Source organism: Homo sapiens, chromosome 15 (genome assembly GCF_000001405.40).
Source record: "Homo sapiens chromosome 15, GRCh38.p14 Primary Assembly".
Lineage (NCBI taxonomy): Eukaryota > Metazoa > Chordata > Mammalia > Primates > Hominidae > Homo > Homo sapiens.
In genome coordinates, this window is record NC_000015.10 from 42,581,757 (window position 1) to 42,594,059 (window position 12,303).

At 42.5% G+C, this 12,303-nt stretch overlaps 1 protein-coding gene across 14 annotated transcripts in view, besides 1 other annotated feature; it reads left to right on the forward strand.

Moving 5' to 3' along the window:
• Positions 1 to 12,303, forward strand: part of STARD9 (StAR related lipid transfer domain containing 9) — a 145,393-nt gene that overhangs the window by 6,151 nt on the left and 126,939 nt on the right. For 10 of the 14 annotated variants that reach the window (XM_011521831.4, NM_020759.3, XM_011521834.4 and 7 more), the window contains exons 2-3: positions 1,590 to 1,659; positions 3,765 to 3,881. The exons of 1 other annotated variant lie outside the window; for it this stretch is intronic. In XM_011521831.4, coding sequence (XP_011520133.1) covers positions 1,590 to 1,659; positions 3,765 to 3,881 — 187 coding nt within the window. Of the gene's footprint in view, positions 1 to 1,064; positions 1,487 to 1,589; positions 1,660 to 3,764; positions 3,882 to 12,303 lie in introns of those variants that run through there. 3 more of the 14 variants (XM_011521836.3, XM_011521832.3, XM_017022440.2) reach the window with 3 other exon arrangements.
• Positions 18 to 67: an enhancer, noted in NCBI's record as "active region_9306". NCBI's record gives its function as "activates an Ori minimal core promoter by ATAC-STARR-seq in GM12878 lymphoblastoid cells {active_cell/tissue: GM12878}" and the evidence as "EXISTENCE:reporter gene assay evidence [ECO:0000049][PMID:35858748]".

Here is a 12,303-nt window from a genome sequence, read left to right on the forward strand (position 1 = left end):
GGATAACTACTTCAATAGTTTTTATGAACATTTGATAAAAGAATACATTACAACAATCTTTATTCCTCAGACCCCTGTGCTTGGCTGTCTGGTTTTTAAACGTTTTACAAGGGGCCAGGCAGTGTGGCTTATGCCTGTAATCCCAGCACTTTTGGAGACTGAGGCAGGAGAATCGCATGAACCCAGGAGTTCAATACCAATCTGTGTCGTCAACAACAACAACAACAAAAAAATTAGCTGGGCATGGTAGCAAGTGCTTGTAATCCTGGCTACTTGGGAAGTTGAGGTGGAAGAAATGCTTAAGCCTAGGAAATTGAGGCTGCAGTGAGCTATGATTGCACCACTGCACCCCAGCCTGGGCAGCAGAGTGAGATCCTGTCTCTAAATAAATCAATAAACAAAATTAAATCTAAAGACCCCTGTCTCACTGTGTTTCTCCTACCCCCAGTCCTCTAGGTCATAGCCTGGGAAGCCTGAGGAAGGATAAAAAATAAGACTGAAGGTATTGTCTCAACTTTCAGGTTCTAGGCTAGGAGTAATTTAATTGATAACTTTTATTGTTTGTAGTGGAGGATGTTCTAATTAATTCTCATCTGTTAACATTTTGGTCATGAGTACTTTAGCTGTGGCTTTTCATATTATGAAAAAGGATAGGTATCAGGTATGTGGGTCATCTGGATTAAGCCCATTAAAGTGAGTGTAGAGATTGTTTAGTTGTTAGCAGTATTACCACATAACTGCAACATAGGAAGATTCTTGAGGAGCTTGGCCCTGCTTCTGATTTAAGAAGATATAAAGAAAGGATTTGAGAAATATATTCTCAGGGTCTCAGCAGAGAGGATTCCAATACTTTTTTTTTGTCAATATCCATGCCCAAAATGCTGGAGAAAATGAGAGATGATGCCGTGTTATATGCTGGGCCAAGGATGCTCTCTAGAGTTTCTTTTCTTTTGAGAGATGAGATCTTGCTCTGTCACTCAGGCTGGGGTGCAGCATCGTGATCATAGCTTGCTGCAGCCTTGAACTCCTGGGCTCAAGCAGTCCTCCTGCCTCTCAGTCTTGCAAGTAGTTGGGATTGTATGTGTGAGCCACTGCTCCCCGCACTCTCTAGGGTTTCTAAGCCTGACTTCTAAGGTATAATTCAGAGCCTAGGCTTCCTGGTCAGACAAATATGAGTTTAAATCCTAGCTCTGCCACTGATAGCTGTGTGACCTTGGACAAGTTACATAATTTCTCTCAGCTTTAGTCCTCTGCCTGTAAAAATGATATGTTAGCAAGCTATGTCAGGAGGATACGTAGGAGGATAGCGTAAGATGAAGAACAATATGTAGTGCCCCTAATAAAGTGCCTTACACATAGAGGGTACTAAATGTGAATGTGAGCTGTTGCAGAGCCAAATTGTAAAGATCCAGGGAAGCATGCCAGCTAGGGGACTGCTTGATGCGACGCTTATAGCCATTTATGGAGACAGACGCTTCTCTTAAGGGTACAGCAGTAGGGAAATATTTTGTCCCACTAGCACTGGTTTTAGGCTCTTTTTTCTTGATTTTAAAAACAACATTTCTTCTGAGCTTGGGTCTTGTTTCTAGGGAGACCAAAGAAGGGGGAAGAATTATTGTGGAAGTTGATGGCAAAGTGGCAAAAATCAGGAATTTAAAGGTAAGCCTGAAATTGTTTTTCATTTTCTTTCCACTGAGGAGCTAATATTGTTACAGGGGCTTCCAGGCTGAAGGTGTATATGTGAATGTGTTTAGAGTTGGGGAGGAAGGGGTATATAAGAGGAATAGGGGGAGGAGCTTATGCCAATCATAAAGCAAATCAAGAAATCAAGAAAGAAGTGCAGGGCATTTGGCTGCTGCAGCCTAAGTTTTATCAGATAGGGTGCATCTGTTTTGGAAATTAGTTGGTAGATGTTTTGAAAGTAAACTTGGGATGTTTTGGGGGCAATAGTTAACTTAAATCGTGCTGCAGGCAATCCATATTCTATTTAACTCACCTGACCACCAGTTAAACTTTGTCCTTATCTTTTCAGTTGATACCACTTTATCTAGAGACATTATTAGGCATTGTAGTATGCACCTGGTAATGCAGGGTTTCTTTTAGCTATACTGAGATCCAAGTAACATCTTTCAGATCCCAGAAGGGAGTCAGTCACTAGCCTGGGTTTTGTTACAGATTCTCTTTCACAGATCTTACTGAACTTAGAGTCATAATTGGACAGACATTTGGAACTTCCTTCCGTACCCCTCAGTCTCCCTTAGGGCTAATTTTTCTCCATCCTGTTACTCCATTTACCAGGCAAACAGAAGACGGAGGGGTTTCTTTCTTTCTGGGCCTTGGGGAGTGGAGAGAGACTGGGGAAGCTGACCATGTGACTTTTGCTATAGTCAGCTTGCAGGTGGTACTCAGCATTCCTGAGAGCTGAGGAAACTGGCAAAACAGAGTTATTTGGACCCCAGTCTTCACAGTCATGCCTGCTCTCTTGTTACTCCTGTGATGTGATGTGTTTCCTCTTGTCATTAGTTCTCTGCTAAAAAACAATGGGGACCTACCAGACTTTCAACGGGGCTCCCCAGGGACAAAGGACCTTTTATTCTCTGCTGTCTCTTATTTATATTGCTGTCGCCTAATCACTTCAGCTGCTTTGTTGTAAGATTCTCATGTTTTTGGTTCTTAAGAATAAGTCTCAGCCAAGATCAAACTTTAATCTGCCTTCTGCACACCTCCCTGGCTGCTGACTTCCCTGTGGTCAGTTATCCAGGAAGAATCTCTTAATCATTCTGGCAGCCTAATTCTTCTGTAGTTTATGATGGCTAGTGGCAGGGTTGTCTTTCCCTGTCCGGAGTGTATAAGATAAGGCATTTCTGTGAATAATGCTGTTCTCCTCAGTACCTGGAGGTCAGTGCAAGGCCAAGCTCTGGTTCTACTCTCATCTACCTTGAGCAGCTACATTGCTTCTGACTCTTCTGTCCAATGTGGTGTCTAAATGGGGGTTGAATATTCCAGGAACCTCAGTGAAAGCCCCAGGTTGATGAAGCCTGTCAGGCACCATGGCCAAACTACTCACGTACTCCCAGTATCCTCTGCAGAAATACTTAGAAAAGAAATAATATAGGTTGAACGTCTTAATTTGAAAATTTGAAATCTGAAATCCTTCAAAATCTGAAGCTTTTTGAATGCTGACATGACGCCATGAGTGGAAAGTTTCACAGCTGGCTTCATGTGATGGGTTGCAGCCAAAACTATTTCATGAACAAAATTATTAAAAATATTGTATAAAATTACCTTCAAGCTATGTTTATAAAGTGTATATGAAACATAAAAGGATTTCATGTTTAGACTTGGATTCACCCCCAAGATATTATGTATATGCAAATATTCCAAAATCCAAAAAAATCTGAAATCCAAAAAATTCCGAAACAGTTCTGGTCCCAAGCATTTCAAAGAAGGGACATTCAACCTGTAGTGATAAGAAGATGCCCAGAGCGGGAGAGGCTTTCTCTCCCAAGCTTTACCACATCTCATATAGTTGGTTCATATGTAGGCAGATATATGATAGAATGACAGACAAATTTAGTTATCTGTGCTTTATTTGTATCTAATAAGATGGAGAGAAAGATTACCTTTTCTTTTTCAGGAAGATAATATAAACAGTCTCATGACCAGTCCAAGTCTCTCTAGCTATGGTAGAGGGTGATCAAGTGCCACTGGCCAGATTCTAATATTATGATAGAAAAGACACTGGATCCTATGTTTGATTTTAGGTGGACAATCGACCAGATGGCTTTGGGGACTCCCGGGAGAAGGTTATGGCATTTGGCTTTGATTACTGCTACTGGTCAGTCAACCCAGAGGATCCCCAGTATGCATCTCAAGATGTGGTAATATCATTTATCATTTTTCTTTCACCTCAGTTCTTTTTTTATGTATAATATTTAAGATGTTTATTATAAAGATACTTTGCAAGGTTAGTATAGCACAGTTGTACAGATTGGAAGTACTCTAATTGGTACTTTAAGAAAACTTTGAAATAACTAACAGATTTTCAAAAAGAAGAAACTTCAATACATCAAGAAACCATTGGCCTTTTCAAGTAACCATTTTCATGGTAGGTAACAAAAGAAGCTTATTTCAAATGCGGTAATATCGTGTATTTCCTCATTTCTTCATAACTGGATAATCATTGGGAAATTAACATGAAATCTGAGTCCTGGCTATTTCTTATGATACTTTTGTCTGAAACTAATGATGTTTTGGTCTGAGAAATGGTAGTGAGAGGTATCACTTCCAGAAAGAACAAAGAAGGTGGGAAAAGACTGCTTGAACAAGACATCAAAGTTGGCTAGTGTCCATTTAGGCTTGAGCCTCCTCATGATTCAGGTGGGTATAAGTTAGCTCAGGTAGTGTTCTGCTCCTATGATAGGTGAACAGCCATGTGCACAAGGGAATTATAGAGGTTAGTATCTTCTTTGAACCTTAGGCTTGTACTTGTCCTCCTAGGTAGAGTGGAAAAGGGCTAGACAGCTAGTCAGCCAGCCTGCAAGGTAGGTAGGAGGCAGGTGAATCTTATCAATCTGCTGTTTGAGCAGCCAAGGCTTTGCCAGCTGAGCCTGTTGGTCACCCGTCATGTGTCTTGTGGTTCTGCTTAGCTCTCGGTCAAGTTTCCAAGGCAGCAGGAGGTCTGGCCAGTGGGTCTACAGGACTTCTCTGTTTCTCTGAAGCAGCAGTGTTGTCTTGGTTTGAGCACTGTTAAAGGCCATGTACTCAGACCCCATCATGGCCAGCAAGCCTTGCCTCATTCACTTCTATGGCCACAGACAGTAGCCCTTGCCCCAGCAGCTATCAGGGTACTTTGCAAAAGTCCAAACCTAAAATTGGAAAAGCCATTTACTTGGCCTTTCATGGTTCATTATCATCATATCACATATGAAAGAAAAGACTATGGGAATATATCCTTGGGAAATACTACTGGAAATAGAAATATTTTTGGGGAAACCTGGACAGTCATTGCCTAGGATTCTATATAACTTTGAATAAAAAGTCAAACTATGTTTTCTGACAAATATTTCAGTCTTTCATAAAACTTTTTTTTTTTTTTTGGTGGGGGGCCGGGGGGCGGAGATGATCTTGTTCTGTTGCCCAGGCTGGAATGCAGTGGCATGATCTCAGCTCACTTCAGCCTCTTTCTTCTGGGCTGAAAGTGATCTTCCCACCACAGCCTCCTGAGTAGCTGGGACTACAGGTGTGTGCCCCCATGCCCAGCTAATTTTTGTATTTTTTGTAGAGACAGGTTTTCATCATGTTGCCCAGGCTGGTCTTGAACTCCTCAGCTCAAGCAATTATCCTACCTTGGCCTACCAAAGTGCTGGAATTATAGGCATGAGTAACTGCACCCAGCTATAAAGCTTTTAATAATTATGTCAAAGGAACAACATTATCAAGTCTGAGTGACTCAGAGGAGACAGTACTGATTTTCTGCTATTGTAGACTTCTGAAGATGATTGAATATTTCTAAATCACAGATTTAGATATTTCTAAATTTAAATATTTCTAAATTACCCCATTCTTCCCTTCTGAAAGGAACACACAGAAATAAGACCGTAGACCACTGTGGGATTTGCTGTCACAGTGGGCCTCTTCTGTTATATAAGCATCTCACCTTTGTAGTCCTAATGTGTTTGCTGTTAATGCTCAGTACAAAAGAGCAGTGTGGACATTACCTGCCCTCCACTGAGTCTTCTCTGTCCTTTTGAATACGAGGACAGGGGCAGGTCTAGGCTTGTCTTGTGGCCCTTGATTTATGTATTTATTTATTTTATTTTTTGGGGGGATGGAGTTTCGCTCTTGTTGCCCAGCCTGGAGTGCAATGGCACCATCTCGGCTCACCACAACTTCTCCTCCTGGGTTCAAGCGATTCTCCTGCCTCAGCCTTCTGAGTAGCTGGGATTACAGGCATGTGCCACCACGCCTGGCTAATTTTGTATTTTTAATAGAGACGAGGTTTCTCCGTGTTGGTCAGGCTGATCTCGAACTCCCGACCTCAGGTGATCCGCTCACCTCAGCCTCCTAAAGTGCTGGGATTACAGGCATGAGTCACCATGCCAGGGTGGCCCTTGATTTTTTATCCCAGCACTCAAGTGTGTATGAGGCATCTGGTTACTAGTGTTTGTAACCATTCCCTTGAGCTCCTCCAAGAAGAACCAGCAAAGTAACTAACTTTGAGTAAGAAAGATGGGACTCCTATAACAGTCCACAGTTGTGACTGTATTTGTGGCGTAGAAGACAGTGGCCTTTCTGTTAGCGGAAAGTATGAGCATTCTGATAGCTGTTTGAGACCTGCCTGGCCATGGCATACGTGTGGCTGTTCTGTACATAAGAGGAATTAACTATTTTGTATAACATTTGATAAATCAGTCATCTTAGAGGGGGTGTGTGAATGTGTTAAAATTTTATGTGTGTGTGTGTGTGTGTCTGTGTGTGTGTATTAGTATCATTAAGCTTGAGTATGAGTTTGGTTGTGAGTCCCGTATTTTACATTTATGTGTCTTAACTGTATAAAAATCTAGTGAAAGCCCAAAAGGCCATAGAGGAGGGAAATTCATAAATATGATTCTTCTTTTGCCTGATTTGAAATTTGATGGAAAGATCAAATGAGATCCAGACAGGAAGCCTGTGCAGAGAGATAAACCAGTGTCTCCTGAGGTTTCTTCTGGCTTGTTTATTAATTGTCTGAGTCCCTCATTGGTCCCAGGAGGAGTTAGGATAGGAAAGAGAAGGAAGGGAACCTCTGTCACAAGCTGGAGTGGAGCCAGAGGTCCCAGAGTGGTGGCAGGACTCATATCTACATGATACAATCAGAGGCCCTCATTGCTTTAACACAGAAATTGGAGCTCAGGTTTAACCCTAATCACTATGGCTCTGAGGCCACCACGGACGGGTAAGAAAGGTGGAATCTATACAATCTTAGGACTTGGGGTGGAAAAGAATTTGGATGTAACCCAGTTTATCCTCTTCACAGCGTTTTTTTTTTTTTTTTTTTTTTTTTTTTTTTTTTTTTTTGGAGTGGGGGGTGGGGGTGTGTGGACAGAGTCTTAGTCACCCAGGCTGGAGTACAGTGGCTCAATCTTGGCTCGCTGCAACCTCCGCCTCCTGGGTTCCAGCGATTCTTGTGCCTCAGCCTCCTGAGTAGCTGGGACTACAAGCGTGTGCCACCATGCTCAACTGATTTTTGTATTTTTAGTAGAGACAGGGTTTCGCCATGTTGGCTAGGCTGGTCTCGAACTCCTGACCTCAAGTAATCCACCTGCCTTGGCCTCCCAAAGTGCTGGGATTACAGGTGTGAGCCACCACATCCAGCTCTCCACAGCATTAGTGATCAAATTTTGAGAGGAGGGGTCAGTCTATTGAAGTATAATTTAGATATAGTGAAAGATTTACCTTTTTTTCTTTTTTAACAATTATTTATTATTATTTTTAATAGAGATAGGGTCTTGCTGTATTGTCTAGGCTGGTCTTGAGCTCCTGGGCTCAAGTGATCCTCCCGCCTTGGCTTCCCAAAGTGTTGGGATTATAGGCATGAGTCACCACGCTTGGCCAAATTCACCTTTTTAATGTACAGTAACACATTCAGGTGTGTAACTGACACTACAATCAATATACAAAATAGTCTATCATCCCAAAAATTGCTTCATGCTCTTTTATAGTCTATTTCCCCAGGCCCTCACAATTACTGATCTGTTTTCTGTCCCTACAGTTTTATCAGTTCCAGAACGTCATAAAAATGGAATCAAACAGTATGTAGTTGTTTGAATCTGGCTTCTTTCACTTTGCGTGATGTATTTGAGATTCATCTTTTTTTTTTTTTTTTTAAATGGAGTTTCGCTCTTGTTGCCTAGGCTGGAGCGCAGTGGTGCGATCATGGCTCACTGCAACCTCCACCTTCTGGTTTCAAGTGATTCTCTGGCCTCAGCCTCCTGAGTAGCTGGGATTACAGGCGCCTGCCACCATGCCCAGCTAATTTTTTTATTTTTAGTAGAGACGGGGTTTCACTATGTTGGCCAGCCTGGTCTCAAACTCCTGACCTTGTGATCCACCTGCCTTGGCCTCCCAAAGTGCTGGGATTACAGGCGTGAGCCACCACACCTGGCCAAGATTCATCTTTACTGTTGTGTGTGTCACATCTTCTAACCTTGATTCTTTTTTTTTTTTTTTTTTTTTTTGTTGAGACCGGGTCTCGCTCTGTCACTCAGGCTGGAGTAGGGTGGCGCAGTCACAGCTCACTGCAGCCTCAACCTCCTGAACTTAAGTGATCCTCCCACCTCAGCCTCCTGAGTAGCTGGGACTACAGATACGTGTGCCACCATGCTCGGCTAAGTTTTGTAGTTTTTGTAGAAATGTGGTCTCACTGTGTTGCTCAGGCTGGTCTCAAACTCCTGGGCTCAAACGATCTGCCTGCCTTGGCCTCTCAAAGTGCTGGGATTACAGGTGTGAGCCACCACACCTGACCTTGATTCATATTTATTTAAATTATCTGCTCTCCCAGAAGGAATCTCATGACTTTGGAAGCATGGATTCTAACTATAAAGGATACAGTGTGTCTTTCATCCCTAGGTTTCTTCTTATTACAAAGGAAGGACTGCTCAGAAATATGGCATTGATTTCAGATATCAAAATATCTGAGGGAACTATCTAAATTTCCCTTAGTGGATATGGAGGGAGTATCTAAATATCTGACTTTAGGGGGATTTAGAGCAGCATCTTAAGAAGCCATTCAGAGGTAGATGTTGACAAGAATGTCACCTGATCAGTGTTGGTGCTTGTGTTAGTCTATTTTGTGTTATAAAGGAATACCTGAGGCTTAGTAATTTATAAAGAAAAGAGGTTTATTTGGCTCACAATTCTGCAGGCTTTATAGAAAGTATTGTGCCAGTATCTGCTGTTGCTGAGGGTTCAGAGAGCATCCAGTTGTAACAGAAGGGGAAGGAGACAGTCTTGTCACAGCGAGAGAGAGAGAGCGAGAGATGGGAGGGAGGCCACTCTCTTAAACAGTCAGCTCCAGTGTGAACTAATAGAGCAAGAACGCACTCATTACTGTGGGGAGGGGACCAGGCCATTCATGAGGGATCTGTCCCCATGACCCAAACACTTCTCAGCAGGCCCCAGCTCCAACATTGGGGGTCACATTTCAACATGAGATTTGGAGGGGACAGATGCACAAACTGTGTCAGTGCTGCCTTGTCATAGCCTCTTAGTATGTTAGAGTTTGAAGAGAACTTGTTAGTCATCTAGGCCAGAGTTTGTTGACCTCAGCGCTGTTGACATTTTGACCATATAATTCTTTGTTGTGGGGGTCTGTACTGTGCATTGTAGAATGTTTAGCAGCATTCCTGGCCTCTACCCACTTGATGCCAGTAGCAATCCCCCAACTGTGACAATAAAAAACATGTCCAGGCTGAGCACAGTGGCTCACGCCTGTAATCCTAGCACTTTGGGAGGCCAAGGCGGGTGGATCACCTGAGGTCAGGAGTTCAAGACCAGCCTGGCCAACGTGGCGAAACCCTGTCTCTACTAAAGATACAGAAAATAGCCAGGCATGGTGGTGCATGCCTGTAATCCGAGCTACTCGGGAGGCTGAAGCAGGAGAATTGCTTTAACCCGGGAAGCGGTGGTTGCAGTAAGCCGAGATCGCACCACTGCACTCCAGCCAGGGCAACAGAGCAAGAGTCCATCTTAAAAAAAAAAAAAAAATGTCTGGACATTAGCCACTAATCTAGGCCAACCCTCATATGTTACAGATCTGGCCATGTAATTTATGGCATTATACAGGTGGTTAGTGCTCAAGCTGGAACAGACCCAGGCTTCCTTATGGTGGTCTTTTTATTGCATTGTATCATTCTCTGTCTTTTTATATTTACAGCCTCAAAAGATAGGTTCAAAGTTAAAATTCCTTAGTGCTTTGGCACTCTTCCTGGTCCTTAGTGGTGAAATGCCTGAGTAAATAGATCAGTTGTCACCAACTAGGGACTACTAGAGGACAAGTCAGCTACTGCAAGTTCTACTGAGAAGCAGCTTTATTTGTTAAATGCCTATTGATAGCCAGATACAATTGTAAATGTTTATCACTTCATTCACGTTCTATTAGATCTATATTATTTACTCCATTTTGTAGATAAGGAAACTGAGGCATAGAACGTTTATAGGACTTGCCAGTAAGTGGTGGAGCAAGAATTCAAATTCAAGACTGTTTAACTCTAAATTTTATGTCATTTCCACTAAACCTCACTGACTCTCAAAAAGAAATACCATTTAGCCTACTAGTGATCTGATCATCTCTTTATGTATATTTGATATAATTTCTTAAATACCCTAAAAGGTAGAGGATTTTATCCCCCTTTTATAGTGGAGGAAATTTAGGCTTAGAGAAGTTATATGATCTGCCAAAGTTACACAGTAAGATGTGAGTTCTAGATTTGAACACAGGATCATCTGACTGCAAAGTTCATATTCAACACTATGCTGCAGTACAAAAGGAAAATGAAGGATATGGGAAAAGGAAGCGATGGAAAACTGGAGAAGGGGAGAGAAAAGACTATAGTGAATGGGATGTGGTTGGAGATCTCTATAGTACCTGTCTTGTCCATTACTCCTTGACCCTGGTGTCAGCTTCCTGTTTTTTTTCTTTTTCTTTTTTCTTTTTTTTATTTTTTGAGACAGAGTCTCACTCTGTCACCCAGGCTGGAGTGCAGTGGTGCGATCTTAGCTCACTGCAATCTCCGCCTTCCGGTTTCTAGCAATTCTCCTGCCTCCGCCTCCCGAGTAGCTGGGATTACAGGTGTGTGCCACCACACCCGGCTAATTTTTGTATTTGTAGTAGAGACGGGTTTCTCCATGTTGGCCAGGCTCGTCTCGAACTCCGGATCTCAAGTGATCTGCCCACCTCAGCCTCCCAAAGTGCTGGGATTACAGGCGTGAGCCACCACACCCAGCCAGCTTTCCATTCTTAAGGCAAGTCATTATTGGTCTAAATGCTGTTTTCAGTATTTGTTAATATTTGGACTTGCAGCAGAAGCTTTTCTTCAAAATTGGCCTGTATTTTTTCTGGCTTGAATCTGTATTAAAGTCAATTTGCTTCTCTGAAATTAAACCTGGACTTGAATTCAGGCAGTCAGTTATTGGCTAGCTTACTTTGGGCAAGTTGCTTATCCTCTTTGCTTTCTAGTTTCTTCAGCTCTAAAATAGAGATCATATATGCCTCAAAGAGTTATTGTGAGGAGGAAATGAAATAATTAAAGTGCCCAGCCCAGTACTTGGCACCTCGGCGTCAAATGAGTTTATGAGTGCTGTGCCTTGGGTCCCTGCCGTGATTACCATTATCATACGTAGTACAAGAGAAGCAAGGCTCATGATATTTTTCTGAGTTGAACTAGATTTGGAAACCTCTTTTCTGAATCTGGTTATGATCCCTTCTGGGACCATCCTGCTCCATTTGGAAAACTAACTTCCCTCCCTTCCTCCTGGTGAGGAACATCTGTTGGCGCAGGAATCCTCTGCTCCGGCGTATTGTGTTTGGGTGACTGTGTGTTTGTAAAACTTTCCATGAGGAGTATTAGCTCAGCTTTACCCACCAGGGCCTGAAAGTGGCTGTTTAAAACAAATGCAGACTGAGTCAACAAAAATCATGTCTATGAACAAAAAGCTAACCGCTCTTCATGGAAAGAATTGCTCCTATTCTTCTGGAAATCTTTATTTTAAAATGGTCTGTTATTTAGCTAAAACACTTGTAGCATTTCCAGACCAAAAAAAAAATCATGTTGAGTGAGCAGGAGATTTTTGTCTGAATTCAAAACAACCACTGTCTCCAAAATTGAAAGTATTTTAGTAGTAATATGGTTGTGCTTCTTTTTTTTTTTTTTTTTTTTTTTTTTTGAGACAGAGTCTCACTCTGTTGCCCAGGCTGGAGTGCAGTGGTACAATCTCGGCTCACTGCAAGCTCTGCCTCCCAGGTCCACGCCATTCTCCTGTCTCAGCCTCCTGAGTAGCTGGGACTACAGGCGCCCGCCACCACGCCCGGCTAACTTTTTTTTTTGTATTTTTAGTAGAGACGGGGTTTCTCCGTGTTAGCCAGAATGGTCTTGATCTCCTGACCTCATGATCCGCCCGCCTCGGCCTCCCAAAGTTCTGGGATTACAGGCGTGAGCCACCGCGTGGTTGTGCTTCTTGTTGTTTTAATATTTATTTGGTCTCCACAATATACTGAACATCAAACAACACACAGAATACATCATTACTTATGTCAAGGAGCCC